Here is a 16,519-nt window from a genome sequence, read left to right as displayed (position 1 = left end):
GGAAGTGAGGAGCGTCTCTGCCCGGCCGCCCATCGTCTGAGATGTGGGGAGCGCCTCTGCCCCGCCGCCCCATCTGGGATGTGAGGAGCGCCTCTACCCGGCCGCGACCCCGTCTGGGAGGTGAGGAGACCCTCCGCCTGGCAACCGCCCCGTCTGAGAAGTGAGGAGCCCCTCCGCCCGGCAGCCGCCCTGTCTGAGAAGTGAGGAGCCCCTCCGCCCGGCAGCCACCCCATCTGGGAAGTGAAGAGCGTCTCCGCCCGGCAGCCACCCCGTCTGGGAGGGAGGTGGGGGGGTCAGCCCCCCGCCCGGCCAGCCGCCCCGCCCGGGAGGTGAGGGGCGCCTCTGCCCAGCCGCCCCTACTGGGAAGTGAGGAGCCCCTCTGCCCGGCCACCACCCCGTCTGGGAGGTGTACCCAACAGCTCATTGAGAACGGGCCATGATGACAATGGCGGTTTTGTGGAATAGAAAGCAGGGAAAGGTGGGGAAAAGATTGAGAAATCGGATGGTTGCCGTGTCTGTGTAGAAAGAAGTAGACATGGGAGACTTTTCATTTTGTTCTGTACTAAGAAAAATTCTCATCCTGTTGATCTGAGACCTTACCCCCAACCCTGTGCTCTCTGAAACATGTGCTGTGTCCACTCAGGGTTAAATGGATTAAGGGCGGTGCAAGATGTGCTTTGTTAAACAGATGCTTGAAGGCAGCATGCTTGTTAAGAATCATCACCACTCCCTAATCTCAAGTACCCAGGGACACAAACACTGCGGAAGGCTGCAGGGTCCTCTGCCTAGGAAAACCAGAGACCTTTGTTCACTTGTTTATCTGCTGACCTTCCCTCCACTATTGTCCTATGACCCTGCCAAATCCCCCTCTGCGAGAAACACCCAAGAATGATCAATAAAAATAAACTAAAAAAAAATAAAAATAAAAATAAATAAATAAATAAATAAATAAATAAAAAAGACTGAATCCCACTAAATTGCTTACAGTGGGATGGAGGAAAAAGGAGGAAAGGGGACCACAAAGAAATGAACAGAGGCAAGAGAAATGAACAGAGGCAAGCCTCTCCATGCACCTGCGTATTGTTGGAATTTTTCAGTAAGCAAGTATTACTTTTGAAAAATGTTCTCCTGAAATATGAATCCCTATATAGAAAGTGGAGAGTCAGCAAAGTGGGATTCCACTTCTATTACAGAAGAAATATACATCTCTCTACACAGAAGAACGTTTACAAGAATAAGCTCCAAACGATTAACAGCGTTTCTGGGTAGGTGGAATTGCATAATTAGAAAATCTTTTTTGTTTGCCTGGATTTGTTTTGTCATGAACATCTATTGTGGGGCTTTTTTTTTTTTTTTTTTGAGATGGAGTTTCACTATTGTAGCCCAGGTTAGAGTGCAGTGGCGCGATCTCGGCTCACTGAAACCTCTGCCTCCAGGGTTCAAGTGATTCTCTTGCCTCAGCCTCCTGAGTAACTGGGATCACAGGCATGCACCACCACGCCTGGCTAATTTTGTGTTTTCAGTAGAGACGGGGTTTCTCCACGTTGGTCAGGCTGGTCTCAAACTCCTGACTTCAGTTGATCCACCCGTCTCGGCCTCCCAAAGTGCTGGGATTACAGGCATGAGCCACCGCACCCAGCCCATCTATTGTGTTTTATAAGAAAAAAAAAAAGTGAGTTATTTGTAAGATTTGAAAAGAATATCTTGTATTTGCATTTACAGTTCACACATTGTGAAAATAGAGTTTTCCTGGGAGGCACCCCGGGTACCTCAGTTTTCTGCTCAGCCCTGGAGCCCTGGGGACCAGCAGATGCTCACAGCTTTCTACCTAGGATATTTTATAATGTCTGACTCTTTTATAATGAGCATGGATTGCTTTTATAATGAGAAAAAAAGCAATATAGCTGTTTTATGTGTAGGGGGAGGGCCGTGGGAAGAGGAAAAGCCAGCAGGCAATGTCACAGCTGGGAATGCTGATGTCTCCTGGCAGGGCTGAAAATCACCTCCCCTAGCCCGCTACAGAGCCAGCAGTGGGGACAGGGAGGAGCACACACCCTTCCACACTTGTATGGTTCTAGGCTCAGACAGATTCACATTTGGGGCCGCCTACCCACCCCCACCATAGGTGGAAGTTGAGGCTGGGGAGAGAAGAAGTAACATTTTGGGCCCTGTTTTGTGCCCAGCACTGAGCTAGACACTATTGTATCTTGTTTATTCCTGTAGCAATTCTGTGAGGGGCAATTACTAATTTCATTTTAGAGAAAAGAAATCAAGGTTCAGAGAGGCTCACTAACTTGCTTAAGATCACACAGTAAGGGATGCGGGCAGGACCCAAGCCCAGGTCAGCCTGAAGGCCGTGCCCTCTCCCCTGAACCATTCTACTTCCTCAGGGACTGAGTGAGTTGAGATTGACAGGGTGTCACCTCTGGGCTAGTGGTGGCCAAGTGTATTAGTCTGTTCTCACACTGCTAATAAAAACATACCTGAGACTGGGTAACTTAGAATGAATAAAGGTTTAATTGACTGAGAGTGCCACATGGCTGGGGAGGCCTCACAATCATGGTGGAAGGCAAATGAGGAGTAAAGTCACATCTTACATGGTGGCAGGCAAGAGAGTTTTTGCAGGGGAACTCCCATTTATAAAAGCATCAGAACTCGTGAGACTTATTCACCACCACGAGAACAGTATGGGGAAAATCACCCCCATGATTCAATTACCTCCACCTGGCCCCACCCTTGACACATAGGGATTATTATAATTCAAGGTGATATTTGAGTGGAGACACAGCCAAACCATATCATTCCACCCCTGGCCCCTCCGAAATCTCCTTTCCTCACATTTCAAAACCAATCATGCCTTCGCAACAGTCCCCTAAAGTCTTAACTCGTTTCAGCATTAACTCAAAAGTCCACAGTCCAAAGTCTCATCTGAGACAAGGTAAGTCCCTTCCGCCTATGGGCCTGCAAAATCAAAAGCAAGTTAGTTACTTCCTAGATAAAGTGGGGTACAGGCATTGGATAAATACACCTGTTCCAAGTGTCAGAAATTGTCCAAAATAAAAGGACAACAGGTCCCATGCAAGTCTGAAATCCGTGGGACAGCCAAATCTTAAAGCTCCAAAATGATCTCCTTTGACTCCATGTCTCATATCTAAGGTCATGCTGATGCAAGAGCTGGATTCCTACAGCCTTGGGCAGCTATGCTCACAGCTGTGTAGCCACAGCTATGCTCCTGTGGCTATGCTCCCACAGCCTTGGGCAGCTTTGCTCCAGTACAGCTCCCCCACCCCCACCCCATCCTGCCTGCTTTCACAGGCTGGCATTGAATATCTGTGGCTTTTCCAGGTGCACAGTGCAAGCTATCAGTGGATCTACCATTCTAGGGTCTGGAGGACAGTGGCCCTTTTCTCAGAGCTCTACTAGGCAGTTCCACAGTGGGAACTCTGTGTGGGGCTCTAACCCCACATTTCCCTTCTGCACTGACCTAGCAGAGGTTCTCCATGAGGGCTCTGCCCCTACAGCACAACTCTGCCTGGACATCCAGGCATTTCCATACATCCTCTGAAATCTAGGTGGAGGTTTCCAACCTCAATTCTTGACTACTGTGTAACCACAGGCTCAACACCACGTGGAAGCTGCCAAGGTTTGGTGCTTGCACCCTCTGAAGCCATAGCCCAAGCTGTACCTTGGCCCCTTTTAGCCACTGGAGCAGCTGGGATGCAGTGCACCAAGTCCCTAGGCTGCACACTGCAGGGAGGCCCTGGGCCTAGCCCACAAAACCATTTTTTCCTGCTAGGCCTCTAGGACTGTAATGGGAGGGGTTGCCTTGAAGGTCTCTGACATGTCCTGGAGACATTTTCTCCATTGTCTTGGTGATTAACATTTGCCTCCTCCTTACTTATGCAAATTTCTGCAGCCAGCTTGAATTTCTCCCCAGAAAATGGGTATTTTTTCTATTGCATCATCAGGCTGCAAATTTTCCAAATTTTTATGCTGTTGTTCCCCTTGAACACTTTGCTGCTTAAAAATTTCTTCCCCTAGATAACCTAAATCATCTCAAATTCAAAGTTCCACAGATCTCTAGGGCAGGGGCAAAATGCCAATATTCTCTTTGCATAGCAAGAGTGACGTTTACCCTGGTTCCCAATAAGTTCCTCATCTCCATCTAGACCACCTCAGCCTGGACTTTATTGTCCATATCACTATCAACATTTTCGTTAAAGCCATTCAGCAAGTCTCTAGGAAGTTCCAAACTTGCCCACATCTTCCTGTCTTCTGAGCCCTCCAAGTCTCTAGGAAGTTCCAAACTTTCCCACTTTTTTCTATCTTCTTCTGAGCCCTTCAAACTGTCCAATGGGGCAGGAGAATAGGGCCTGGAGGCAGGGAACATAAGGCTGATCCATGCTGACTTCTTAGAACTAAATCAAATGGAAGCACTTCAGCAATGACAGAAATGTGAATGGCTTTGTAACTTCACTTCATCCTCTCCATTTACACCATTTACACTTTGTAACTTAACATTCATCTTCTCCATTTCCGTAGCCCACACACTCCAAGTAACATCCTCTCCATTTACACTTTGTAACTTCACATTCATCCTCAGTATTCACACAGATCACACACGCCAAGTAACATCATCTTCATTTATATAGGATGCATTCTGAGTAAATGACTGCAACTTCACTCCATTCTCATTTACACAGAGGTACACCAAGTAACCAAAGAGAAACCTCTAGAGTATTGAAACCCCAGAAAACTCTGTAATGGGGACTCTTGAGCCCTGATGCTCAGGCCTGCTTCCAACACTGTGGAGTGTACCTTTGTTTTTAATAAATCTCTGCTTTTGCTTTCCTTGCTTTGTTTGTGCATCTTGTCCAATTCTTTGTTCAAGACGCCAAGAACCTGGACACCTTCCACCAGTAACCTCTGCCTGTTACTCAGTTCCAAAGTCGCTTCTACATTTTCAGGTATCTTTACAGCAGCCCCTCACTCCAGGTACCAATTCACTGTATTAGTCTGTTCTCATAATGCTAATAAAGACATACCCGAGACGGGATAATTTATAAAGGAAAGAGGCTATTGACTCACAGTTCCATATGGCTGTTTACAATTCATAATCATGGCGGAAGGCAAAGGAGGAGCAAAGTCAGGTCTTACACAGCAGCAGGCAAGAAGAGTGTGCGCAGAGGAACTCCCCTTTATAAAACCATCAGATGTTGTGAGACTTATTTACTACCAAGAGAACAGTATGGGGAAAACTGCCCCCATGATTGGATTATCTCCACCTGGCCCTGCCCTTGACACTTGGGGTTTATTACAATTCATAATGAGATTTAGGTGGGGACACAGCCAAACCATATCACCAGGTAACCCTTTCTAATGACTGAGGCAGCTCCCTACTCCAGGTCCCTCGCACTATCGATTTTGCTGCCGAGAACAAGGAGGAGCCTAGTAAGGGGACCGAATCTGCCTGTAACATTGGGAAACCCTGCAGTGGCCAAGATAACCAGTCAGGAGGGGCTCCAGCTTTGGGGGGAACTTCATTCCAGAAAACCAGCCCTGACCACCTACAAAGCCCTAAAGAGGCAAAGAATGGTGCAAGCCCAGCAGAAAGCCAGCCAGGCCCTGGGCATGGAGTCTTCGAGCTGTCTTCTCTGGTGACATGCTTCCTCAGGCCACAAGGCTGAATGATACGTAAACGCCCATGCCCCCAAAGATCCAAGCACTTCCCGTTCTGCTGGCTCTTCCGGCATTCCTGTGAAGTGAGCAGAAGGCCAGGTTTGCCCGTCTCTTTTCCCCTTTCAGATGACAAAACTGATGGTTTCCTTCCCGCTCTTTAGGAGCGCATAGACACAGGCAGGTCTGCAGCAGGTGAAATTTACTCAAGCTAGAGTGCAGTGGTGCCATCATAGCTCACTGAAGCCTCCAATTCCTGGCTCAAGCAATCCTCCTGCCCTTGCCTCCCAAGTAACTGGGACTGCAAAGTGAGTGCCACCAAATCCAGCTATTTTTTTTTTTTAATATATAAATGAGGTCTTGGTTTGTTTTCCAGGCTGCTCTTGAATGCCTGGCCTCAAGCAATCCTCCTGCCCTTGCCTCCCAAGTAACTGGGACTGCAAAGTGAGTGCCACCAAATCCAGCTATTTTTTTTTTAATATATAAATGAGGTCTTGGTTTGTTTTCCAGGCTGCTCTTGAATGCCTGGCCTCAAGCAATCCTCCTGCCTTGGCCTCCCAGAGTGCTGGGATTACAGGTGTGAGCCACCATATCCAGCCCAGCTCTAGACTTTTAGAGAAATTTTAATAGTATTTTACACCACAGTGATTCCTTTTTTTAAAAAAAATTTATGTCCCTAGCATGTACAGTAAACACTAAAGTGATTCCTAAAGAATTCTTCCCTTTTATCACTTCCAGTAGGCCTCTGTGAAACCAAATCTACCTCCGCTTACAAGAAAGATGCTGGGCTGGCCTTCTCTCAAAGTCTTTCCAAACTTTTCTTGGCATTGACTTAGACACCCTAGGAATCTAACTTGAGAAAATGTTTTCATTAAAAAAAATCTCAGGAAGTAAAACCTCCTGAATGATTACTGAGTTGACATAAATCTTATGTGTATATTCTTATCAGAAAAAAAGTATCTTCATTTTGTGGGACACCAATTCATGTATTATTATTATTTTGAGACAAAGTTTCGCTCTTGTTGCCCAGGCTGGAGTGCAATGGCGCGATCTCCACTTACTGCAACCTCCACCTCCTGAGTTCAAGTGATTCTCGTGCCTCAGCCTCCCTAGTAGCTGGAACTACAGGCATGTGCCACCACACCCAGCTAATTTTTTGTAACTTTAGTAGAGATGGGGTTTCACCATGTTGGCCAGGATGGACTCGAACTCCTGACCACAGGTGATCTGCCCACCTCAGCTTCCCAAAGTGCTGGGATTACAGGCATGAGCCACCGCGCCCAGTCGCTGGGTCTTACAGTAACTTTATGTTTAACATTTTGAGGAAATGCTATTCTTTTCCAAAGTGACTGCACCATTTCATATTTGCACTAGCACTGTACGGACATTCCCATTTCTCTGTCCTAGTGAGTGTGAAATGGTATCTCACTGCAGTTCCAGTTTGTATTTCCCTGATGGCTAATGATGTGGATCATTTCATGTGTTCATTGGCCACAGAGAAATGTCTATTTGGATTCTTTACCCATTTTTCAATTGGGTTATTTGTCTTTATAGGTTTGTTGTTGTTGAGACAGAGTCTTGCTCTGTCACTCAGGCTGGAGTGCAGTGGCATTATCACAGCTAACTGCAGTCTAGAACTGCTGGGCTCACGTGATCATCCCAGCTCAGCCTCTCGAGTAACTGGGACTACAGGCATGCGCCACCAGCCCCAGCTAATTATTTTATTTTTTGTAGAGACAGGGTCTTACTATGTTGCCTAGGCCGGTCTTGAACTCCTGGGCTCAAGCAAATCTCCCACCTCAGACTCCCAAAGTATTGGAATTATAGGTGTGAACCATAGTGCTCAGCCAATTTGCACAATAATCTTAAATACAAAAGCTAAGCAAAACAAATCAAGAGCATCTTTAAAAACTAGGCAGTCTGGGAGGCAGGGGCTGCCGTGAGCCGTGAGATGGCACCTTTGCATTCCAGCCTAGGTGACAGAGGGAGGCCCTGTCTAAAAAAAACCAAAAACCAAAAAACAAAACAAAACAAAAAACATCTAGGCAGTAGCTCGTGCCCGTAATCCCAGCTACTCAGGAGGCTGAGGCGAGAGAATCGTTTGAGCCCAGGAGTTCAAGACCAGCCTGGGCAACAGAGTGAGACCCCATTTCTAAAAAATGAACAAAGAAAAACTAGGCAGTTTCGCCCAGTGGTTAGAAGCGTGGAGTTTGGAGTCAAGTCTCCAAATTTCATCTTCCACATATGCAAAATGGAGACAATAATAGGGGTACGTTATAGAATTGTGGTAGGCATAGTGAACTCCATCGCATGTTAGCTGTTTTCGTTACTATTTACTGTCTAAATTCGGTGATGAAATTATTAGGAAGTCTCTGTCTTGTTCTCTTCTGACCACTAAGAGGCGCACTTCGGAGTAGAAGAAACGCGGGCGGAAATAGCCCAAAAGCGGATTGGCTTCGACTTCTGGCGGAAGTAAATTCCTCCCTCCACCAGGTCTTATTAGCTCAGAAAGAATTCCAAATTTCTACGTAGTCCCAAGGATAGGTAGAATACATTTCTCAGTCCTATTCCTAGTTATTATTGTCTATTAAAACATGTATACTCAGAATTTTTGCGGCATTATTTTTTGACGTGTCTTTATTTTATTTAAAAGAGCCGGAGCCGGAAGTGCTTGCCTTTTTCCCTGCTAGGACCCAGGGGTTACGACCCATCAGCCCTTGCGCGCCACCGTCCCTTCTCTCTTCCTCGGCGCTGCCTACGGAGGTGGCAGCCATCTCCTTCTCGGTAAGTGTTAATCCGTGGCAATCCGCATTCCTGCGGGATTCATCTGGCCCCGTCGCCCAGTGGTGCGGAGGCCTCCCCTTCAGCGCGGTAGTGTCTGTGGGTATTGTTATTGTCAGCTTACTGGAGCGTGTACAGGAACAGAACGAAGCCGCCGAGTTGATAGGGCTTTGCGTCCCAGAGCCTCCTGCCCTCCGCCTGTATTCAGAGCTGCGGGCTGCTTGTTTGTTCCTTGGCGGTGGAGGGTGCTAGTTGAGGCCAGACTTCGGGGTCTCCTGGGGGCCGTGGGACGACCAGGGGTGGCCCAGCTTGACAGCTTTCAGCTGGGATCTGTGGATCCCAGCGCTCACCAATGTCGGCCCACGTGTATTCGTTCATGCCATGGCCGGCTTCTTCCGCTGCAGTCTCTGGCCCGAGGGCTGCTGCTGCGGGACCGCCAAGGAAAGACGAGCTGTAGGTCGGCTGGTCCAGCTGCAGGCAGAAATTCTGGTAGTATCTCTGGGAATATGAAGATGCAACTGCCCCCACCTTGCCTTCGAGGATATCATGGGCCAGAAGGCAGAGTCGTTTTGAATACGTGGTTCATTGAGTACCCACTCTGGGCCAGTTGATGGCTGCGAAGAGAGCAGAAGGGGTGCTGCTGTAGGAAATCAATGGCTCGGAAGACCACACTGAGGAAGGTGTGAGTTGATACTGGAAGATCTCCAGGTTTGAGGCATCTTCAGAGGTATATGGTGGTTTTGTGTGTGTTGAGGGTGTGGTAGCGCAGCAGCTCCCTAGGGAATTAGAAGGTTTTATTGAACATTTACCCTGTGACAGGCACTGCAGGCATTCAGCGCGCAGTGTCATCTTCATTTTACAGGTGAGGAAAAGACTCAGGTTCAAGTAGATGGTCAAGGCCAGTACTACCGGAAGGACCATCTGGGGGTTCGGACACTGGTGGGGTGGGATTTGCTGCCCCTTGCAAATTGAGAGTGTCTTGGGGTCAGTTTTGATTTGCTCAGCTGTTGGCATTCTTTGGGCTCTGAGTGGGTGAGGTGACCCTTGACCTCCTGGGATCGCATCTGGAGAGTGCCTAGTATTCTGCCAGCTTCGGAAAGGGAGGGAAAGCAAGCCTGGCAGAGGCACCCATTCCATTCCCAGCTTGCTCCGTAGCTGGCGATTGGAAGACACTCTGCGACAGTGTTCAGTCCCTGGGCAGGAAAGCCTCCTTCCAGGATTCTTCCTCACCTGGGGCCGCTTCTTCCCCAAAAGGCATCATGGCCGCCCTCAGACCCCTTGTGAAGCCCAAGATCGTCAAAAAGAGAACCAAGAAGTTCATCCGGCACCAGTCAGACCGATATGTCAAAATTAAGGTATGTGGTCCTGGGATGGAAATGGGTGTGGGGTGAAGAAAAGAGTTTCCAACAGTTTCTGACATCACCTAGTCAGGATTATCTTTGACCGATGAACTGGCTTGTGGAAGAGCTTTCTGTAGAAATACAGGTCTCCCCCAGTGTGCCCTAGTGCTGGTACTTATGTCTCTTGATGTGTGAAGCGAAACTTTAATGAAAAGGGACATTTGGCCGTTTTGATGTGTTCAGAGGGCTTTGCATTTGTGTCCTGTATTTTGGGTTGCCTTGTGACAGCAGGATCCCTATTTTATAGACAAGAAAACTCAGGTGCTGAGAGCAGTGTCTGCAGCTGTGCTTGCCATCTCAGTATCTACACAGTCCCCTCGCATCCCATTGGTGCCTCCTCCATTGCTTGGGAGTGGCAATGGTGGGGGTGCCTTCATCCCTAGTGGCTAAAGCCACGAGCTCCTGGTTTTTCCCACCAAAAAAGTAAGGAAATAGTGAAGTCCTGTTACCAAAGGCAACTACTGTGTGGCATACTTCCTTTTCATTTGGTCCTTTTTTTCCCTCCCCAAAAGGAAGAGTTCGCACTCTGCACAGACGCTAACCCACCTGTGTATTATTTCCTTCAGCGTAACTGGCGGAAACCCAGAGGCATTGACAACAGGGTTCGTAGAAGATTCAAGGGCCAGATCTTGATGCCCAACATTGGTTATGGAAGCAACAAAAAAACAAAGCACATGCTGCCCAGTGGCTTCCGGAAGTTCCTGGTCCACAACGTCAAGGAGCTGGAAGTGCTGCTGATGTGCAACAAGTGAGTTGGGTCCCACCTCTAGTTTTCAGTGATCAGAAGTTTGCATCTGTGTGAGCACTTCTGGCAGGAACTCTACAAACTCTTGGGATGCATTTTGGCGGGGGGTGTTGTACATTCTCTGAGGGAATCAGAAGTTGTTCCTTGCAGGATTTTAGAGAATGCTTGTTGGGGAATTCAAGGTGTTTCCTTTGCTGAAGGAGGTGACTTGGTCTTCTAAGTGTAGAGACCCAAGACCAGGAAAAGACTGCTTTGTGAACACTGCAATAATAGCCACTTTCCACTACTACAATATCCTTTGGCTGTTGTTTCCAAAATGTTGCTTTCTTTATGAAGGTGTCAAGCAAAAGAGTTGAACTCTGAAATATTCGAAGAGATTTATTCTGAGCCAAATATGAGTTGACCATGGCCCGTGACACAGCCCTTGGGAGACCCTAAGAATATGTGTCCAAGGTGGGCGGGGAGCAGCTTGGTTTTACATATTTTAGGGAGACATGAGACATCAATCAAATACACATAAGGCATACATTGGTTTGGTCCAGAAAGGCGGCACTTCGAGGTTTTGGATAGATTTTCTGTTTCTCGTCGAGAATTGGTTATCACTAGAAAGGAATGTCTTGGCTACAGTAAGAGGTTGTGGAAACCAAGAGTGCCCTATTCAAGGAGGGAGTGCATTCAGATGGTTGCTGGGGGCCTTTGAATTTTATTTTTGGCTTACAAGCGGGAGAAGGTCAAACATGGACCTCAGACCTTAAGGGGCTCTTAAGTCTGTGCTGTGGTAAGGGGTATCTTCAGGGGCAGGAGGGCTCTGGAAAGTTTGCATTAGATGGAGAACAGGAGGAAACTTGGCAGGCAGAGAGTGCTTACACAAAGGTGTAGAGGTGAAAGCACATGGAGGGTTTGCAGGGCATTGGTTCCAGGTGGGTTTTATTGGTTTTTGTTTTTTAAGATGAAGTCTTGCTCTCTTGCCGGGGCTGGAGTGCAGTGGCATGACTTCGGCTCACTGCAACCTCCACCGCCCAGTTTCAGGCGTTTCTTCTGCCTCACCCTCCCAAGAGCTGGGATTACAGGCGTGCACCACCATTCCTGGCTAATTTTTGTATTTTTAGTACAGATGAGGTTTCACCATGTTGGCCAGGCTGGTTTTGAACTCATGACCTTAAGCGGTCTGCCTGCCTTAGCCTCCCAAAATGCTGGGATTACAGGCATGAGCTACTATGCCTGGCCTGGTTTGATTTTAGAGATAGACAGGCTCTGTGTTGCCCTGGCTACAGTGCAGTGGCTGTTCACAGCTGTGATCATGGCACACCGCAGCCCCAAACTCAAGGTGGGCTCAAGCTGTCTTCCTATCTCAGCCTTCCTGGTAGCTAGGACCACAGGCACACTCCACCACACCCAGCTAGTTCTAGGTGTTTTGAGTAAGTTAGACACTTGGTGAGCTTTGTGTATAAAAGACTCAGTGACCTGCTTAGATTAAAACTAGGGCAGTGGAATGAAAAATTCTCATGGGAAGTGACAGTTTATTTTCTTCACTTACTGGTAAATGAAAGCCAAAAAGCTGAATTTTCCTAAGTAAACTAGAAAGAACATGGAGTGTGTGTGACTAACTAGGATGTTTGTGTTTACGTTTACAAAGATAACTTTCACCTACAGTGGTTGTAGATACAAGTAATAAAAATGAACAAGACCAGTATTCTAACGTGGTTACCTTCCAAGATTGGAAATTTAACCAGGCGTTGAAATGCTGAAAATTTCTGTTAGAAAAGATGGGCGAAGGAATTAATGGTGGATACTGAAACCACAGTTGGCTGTATGAGTTGAACTGTAACAGGCAATACCTGTTGTATGGCCAACATGATTACTCAGTTGCAGTGCACATGTTGGCTGGTTGGCATATGCTCTGTAAGCGCAGCTTGGCAGTCTTTAAGATCCATAGAAATACTCTTTGACGTTTGATCTCTAAGTTCCATTTCTGGGCATTTGTCCTTAAGGAATGGAAAAGCAGGCAAACTAAAGCTAGTCATTGCAGCAATAACCCACTGGAAACAACTGAAAATATAATGAGAGAATTGTAGAGTGCTGGATAAAATGTTGTGGGTCCACTCAAAATGATTCGAGTGTTGTAGTGTGGAAAATGCCCAAGCCAGGGGGGACACATTTAAAATGGTGGGTACACTCTGATTGTGATTATCAAATATATAGATGGACAAGGACAGGAGGGTTTTTTGAAAAGTAAAGACAGATGAGAAGTGTAATATAACCTAAGTCTTTAAAACGTAGAAACATTTAAAAATACAATTGCTTTGAATTTGAGTGGACTCATATAAAACAAGAATTGTCTGGATTTGCTGTCTTGCTGTTAAGGCAGGGTTCTTGAAAAGAGCTGTGTGTCCACTGCCTCAATCACTCCTCACAGTCCTGCTGCTTCTCTCTTTGCTGAAAATGCTTTAGGGGTGGAATGTCTGTTCTTAACCACTGTGGGTGGCTTCATAAATCACCTCCTTACTGAAGTGTGCTTGTTAGGCCTATTGGTTATCAAATGGGGCACAGTGTAGCTGCCTCTTAAAAAGTTGTGAGGAATGAGTTAGAACTGGATCTGAAGTCCTCAGGTAATAGGCATGGCTATGACTGGGTGACTTTAAGCATTGTTGCTTCTCAACTTGCTTTGTATCCTCAGCAGTCAAACCAGGTGCTCTTGGCTCCATTCAGACTCTTGGGTTCTGCTCTTGACCATTTTGCAAAGAGTTCTGAACCTTCATGGGCAAGGTCAAGCACCCTGTGACTGGGGGAGAACCTTTGAACCTGGAGTGTGGGCCTGGGTTCGCCCCGGATCCCTGTCCATTGCTTGCTGTGGGCCTTGGTTTCTTTATCTGTAAAATGGAGGTAATGCCTGGATTACAAGGCTGCTATAAGGATGAGAGGGGACAATGAGGGTACTTTTTAATGAAAGCATTCTTGTCACCACCAGGGAACCATAGTCAGGATTTGGGGGCATGTAGGTGTCATTCCACAGCCACTTACCAAGCAGCCCTCTCTTAGCTTGGTGCTGGGACTCATTGCCTCTCCAATGGAATTTTCCAAGTGTGTTGAGGGCTGTCTTGCTCCTTACCTACTTGATTCTCTTGCAGATCTTACTGTGCCGAGATCGCTCACAATGTTTCCTCCAAGAACCGCAAAGCCATCGTGGAAAGAGCTGCCCAACTGGCCATCAGAGTCACCAACCCCAATGCCAGGCTGCGCAGTGAAGAAAATGAGTAGGCAGCTCATGTGCACGTTTTCTGTTTAAATAAATGTAAAAACTGCCATCTGGCATCTTCCTTCCTTGATTTTAAGTCTTCAGCTTCTTGGCCAACTTAGTTTGCCACAGAGATTGTTCTTTTGCTTAAGCCCCTTTGGAATCTCCCATTTGGAGGGGATTTGTAAAGGACACTCAGTCCTTGAACAGGGGAATGTGGCCTCAAGTGCACAGACTAGCCTTAGTCATCTCCAGTTGAGGCTGGGTATGAGGGGTACAGACTTGGCCCTCACACCAGGTAGGTTCTGAGACACTTGAAGAAGCTTGTGGCTCCCAAGCCACAAGTAGTCATTCTTAGCCTTGCTTTTGTAAAGTTAGGTGACAAGTTATTCCATGTGATGCTTGTGAGAATTGAGAAAATATGCATGGAAATATCCAGATGAATTTCTTACACAGATTCTTACGGGATGCCTAAATTGCATCCTGTAACTTCTGTCCAAAAAGAACAGGATGATGTACAAATTGCTCTTCCAGGTAATCCACCACGGTTAACTGGAAAAGCACTTTCAGTCTCCTATAACCCTCCCACCAGCTGCTGCTTCAGGTATAATGTTACAGCAGTTTGCCAAGGCGGGGACCTAACTGGTGACAATTGAGCCTCTTGACTGGTACTCAGAATTTAGTGACACGTGGTCCTGATTTTTTTTGGAGACGGGGTCTTGCTCTCACCCAGGCTGGGAGTGCAGTGGCACACTGACTACAGCCTTGACCTCCCCAGGCTCAGGTGATCTTCCCACCTCAGCCTTCCAAGTAGCTGGGACTACAGATGCACACCTCCAAACCTGGGTAGTTTTTGAAGTTTTTTTGTAGAGGTGGTCTAGCCATGTTGCCTAGGCTCCCGAACTCCTGAGCTCAAGCAATCCTGCTTCAGCCTCCCAAAGTACTGGGATTACAGGCATCTTCTGTAGTATATAGGTCATGAGGGATATGGGATGTGGTACTTATGAGACAGAAATGCTTACAGGATGTTTTTCTGTAACCATCCTGGTCAACTTAGCAGAAATGCTGCGCTGGGTATAATAAAGCTTTTCTACTTCTAGTCTAGACAGGAATCTTACAGATTGTCTCCTGTTCAAAACCTAGTCATAAATATTTATAATGCAAACTGGTCATTTTTGGGATTTTGTTTTTGAGACTCATTCTGTCACCCCGGCTGGAGTGCAGTGGCTTGATCTTGGCTCCCTGCAACTTCTGCCTCCTGGGTTCAGGCGATTCGATTAACAATTGGAGACGAGTCGTGCAGAGGAAAGAAGTAACTTAGAATCTAATCTTTATTAACCTGGGATATCACAGAAAATACTTGGGCCTGCCACTTGTATTTCTTTGTCCTCAATACTGAACACTAGACACATTTGAAACCTTCCTCAGAAGGAAACAAACCAACTGGTTATGCCTGGGTGGTGGCATGGAAGATGCCCATTGTTGCCCAATTTGCTAATAAGTATTTTGAAATTAGAAATGAAACATGAGGTCCAAGCCTGTCCAGTTCCCTACCCAACCCATTCCTCCTCCCTGGAAAAAAGAAACCCGTATCATCTTCCAAATTTCTGATTCATCACTGCCACTTAAAAATGAACCGTTTTGAATTTTAAAATGTGAATAACTCAAGTATCTTTTCTTTTGAGATGCCCGGCCTGAGCACTAACTTCAGGCATTGCTGAATGCAGTGAAGAAACCAGAGTGGTGTCTGCTGCCTCCTGATCTTTTACAGCTGACAGCACAGCCTATTTCTAAATACTACTAGTTTGTGAGGCAGAGACACCCTCTGAAGGAACCAGACAGACTATGGAGGGGTACAGTGTGAAGTCACTGGAAAACTTCCTCACCCTATTTCTTTGGATGACTGTCCTGAGTTAAGGAAGGGGCCCAACTGTTGGCAGCCTCACAGCTTGGGCTGGGGGCCTTTGAGTTGGGTCCCTGGAGAAGGCACTGTAAGCCCTGACCAGGAGCGACAGGGCCCCCAGTGAGATGGTGGAAGGGCAAAAGTAGAGACCTGCGATGGTGGGATGGGGAGGCCTCGGACTTGGGTGGGCTCCTTTCTCTTAAGCGAGGGCCCACCTTGGTGCTGAGGGGACTAGCTGAGCTCCATTGAGTCTGTGCTGGGGGCTGAAGCGGAATCCTTCTGGATGCTTTCAAAGAGGGCAGCAAGTTCAGGGTTGGATCTGATTTGGGAAGAGAAGTCGGCCATGATGGGGCTTTTCCCCACCTCGGGGATGGTCAGCAGGGCAGCCACTGCCCTCATTGCAGAGCGCTTCAGTTCATCTTGCTTTTCAAACTCCTGCTTCACAGAACCAGCTTTGACCTAAAGTAGGAAACAGCAGAAGCAGCCATCCTTTATTGAGCCTGGCCCACACCACTGCCTCCTCACTGGTCTTTGGCTTCCTCTCTGCCCCATCATCTTCCCCAACATAAATCCCTGCTGCGAGGTCTCCTGAGGCTTCTGTCTCACCAGCTATTTCCTAACTCCACCTCTGGGCTTTTGCACTGGCTAGTTTCCCCACAGAGGTTCTTTGCCATTCAAATCAGCTTGAGTACAGCCTGAGGGGCCTCTGAGCAGCCAATCTGAAGTGCTCGCTTTTTGTTAATTGACAGTGGCAAGTACTGTGTTCCCATACTTACCTC

At 47.3% G+C, this 16,519-nt stretch overlaps 2 protein-coding genes and 1 non-coding gene across 7 annotated transcripts in view, besides 3 other annotated features; 2 read left to right on the top strand and 1 right to left on the bottom strand.

Annotated features, from left to right (window-relative positions):
• Positions 7,811-8,060: an enhancer, noted in NCBI's record as "active region_19454". NCBI's record gives its function as "activates an Ori minimal core promoter by ATAC-STARR-seq in GM12878 lymphoblastoid cells {active_cell/tissue: GM12878}" and the evidence as "EXISTENCE:reporter gene assay evidence [ECO:0000049][PMID:35858748]".
• Positions 8,154-9,090: an enhancer, noted in NCBI's record as "NANOG-H3K27ac-H3K4me1 hESC enhancer chr3:12882363-12883299 (GRCh37/hg19 assembly coordinates)". NCBI's record gives its function as "activates a minimal SCP1, AML or CMV promoter by ChIP-STARR-seq in naive H9 embryonic stem cells {active_cell/tissue: H9 hESC(naive)}" and the evidence as "EXISTENCE:reporter gene assay evidence [ECO:0000049][PMID:30033119]".
• On the top strand, positions 8,372-15,469 carry RPL32 (ribosomal protein L32). 3 transcript variants are annotated; one of them, NM_001007073.1, is made up of 4 exons: positions 8,372-8,460; positions 9,613-9,812; positions 10,424-10,605; positions 13,731-15,009. In NM_001007073.1, exons 2-4 carry the CDS (start codon positions 9,717-9,719, stop codon positions 13,858-13,860), a joined length of 408 nt encoding a protein of 135 aa, NP_001007074.1. In that variant the 5' UTR covers positions 8,372-8,460; positions 9,613-9,716; the 3' UTR covers positions 13,861-15,009. The 3 variants fall into 3 exon arrangements, with proteins under 3 accessions (NP_001007074.1, NP_000985.1, NP_001007075.1); NM_000994.4 differs by having other exon boundaries at positions 8,389-8,460; positions 9,712-9,812; positions 13,731-15,469; NM_001007074.1 differs by lacking the exon at positions 8,372-8,460 and having other exon boundaries at positions 9,504-9,812.
• Positions 9,091-10,029: an enhancer, noted in NCBI's record as "NANOG-H3K27ac-H3K4me1 hESC enhancer chr3:12881424-12882362 (GRCh37/hg19 assembly coordinates)". NCBI's record gives its function as "activates a minimal SCP1, AML or CMV promoter by ChIP-STARR-seq in primed H9 embryonic stem cells {active_cell/tissue: H9 hESC(primed)}" and the evidence as "EXISTENCE:reporter gene assay evidence [ECO:0000049][PMID:30033119]".
• On the top strand, positions 9,504-9,642 carry SNORA7A (small nucleolar RNA, H/ACA box 7A). The gene has a single exon (NR_002582.1). It is a non-coding gene; the product is annotated as a small nucleolar RNA, H/ACA box 7A (small nucleolar RNA).
• Positions 15,151-16,519, bottom strand: part of CAND2 (cullin associated and neddylation dissociated 2 (putative)) — a 38,124-nt gene continuing 36,755 nt past the window's right edge. For all 3 annotated transcript variants that reach the window (NM_001162499.2, NM_012298.3, XM_011533504.3), the window contains one exon: positions 15,151-16,199. In NM_001162499.2, the coding sequence (NP_001155971.1) occupies positions 15,972-16,199 (228 nt within the window). In that variant the 3' untranslated portion in view covers positions 15,151-15,971. The remainder of the gene's footprint in view (positions 16,200-16,519) is intronic.

Source organism: Homo sapiens, chromosome 3 (genome assembly GCF_000001405.40).
Source record: "Homo sapiens chromosome 3, GRCh38.p14 Primary Assembly".
Taxonomy (NCBI): Eukaryota; Metazoa; Chordata; class Mammalia; order Primates; family Hominidae; genus Homo; species Homo sapiens.
Note: the sequence above shows the minus strand (reverse complement) of the source record. Positions and strands in the feature narration are given on the sequence as shown.

Excerpts from the sequence above, each read along its gene's own strand:
- RPL32 (NM_000994.4), top strand. The coding sequence starts at position 9,717 with ATGGCCGCCCTCAGACCCCTTGTGAAGCCCAAGATCGTCAAAAAGAGA. Across the intron at positions 9,813-10,423 it reads ACCGATATGTCAAAATTAAG|CGTAACTGGCGGAAACCCAG; the intron begins GTATGTGGTCCT and ends TATTTCCTTCAG. Across the intron at positions 10,606-13,730 it reads GTGCTGCTGATGTGCAACAA|ATCTTACTGTGCCGAGATCG; the intron begins GTGAGTTGGGTC and ends ATTCTCTTGCAG.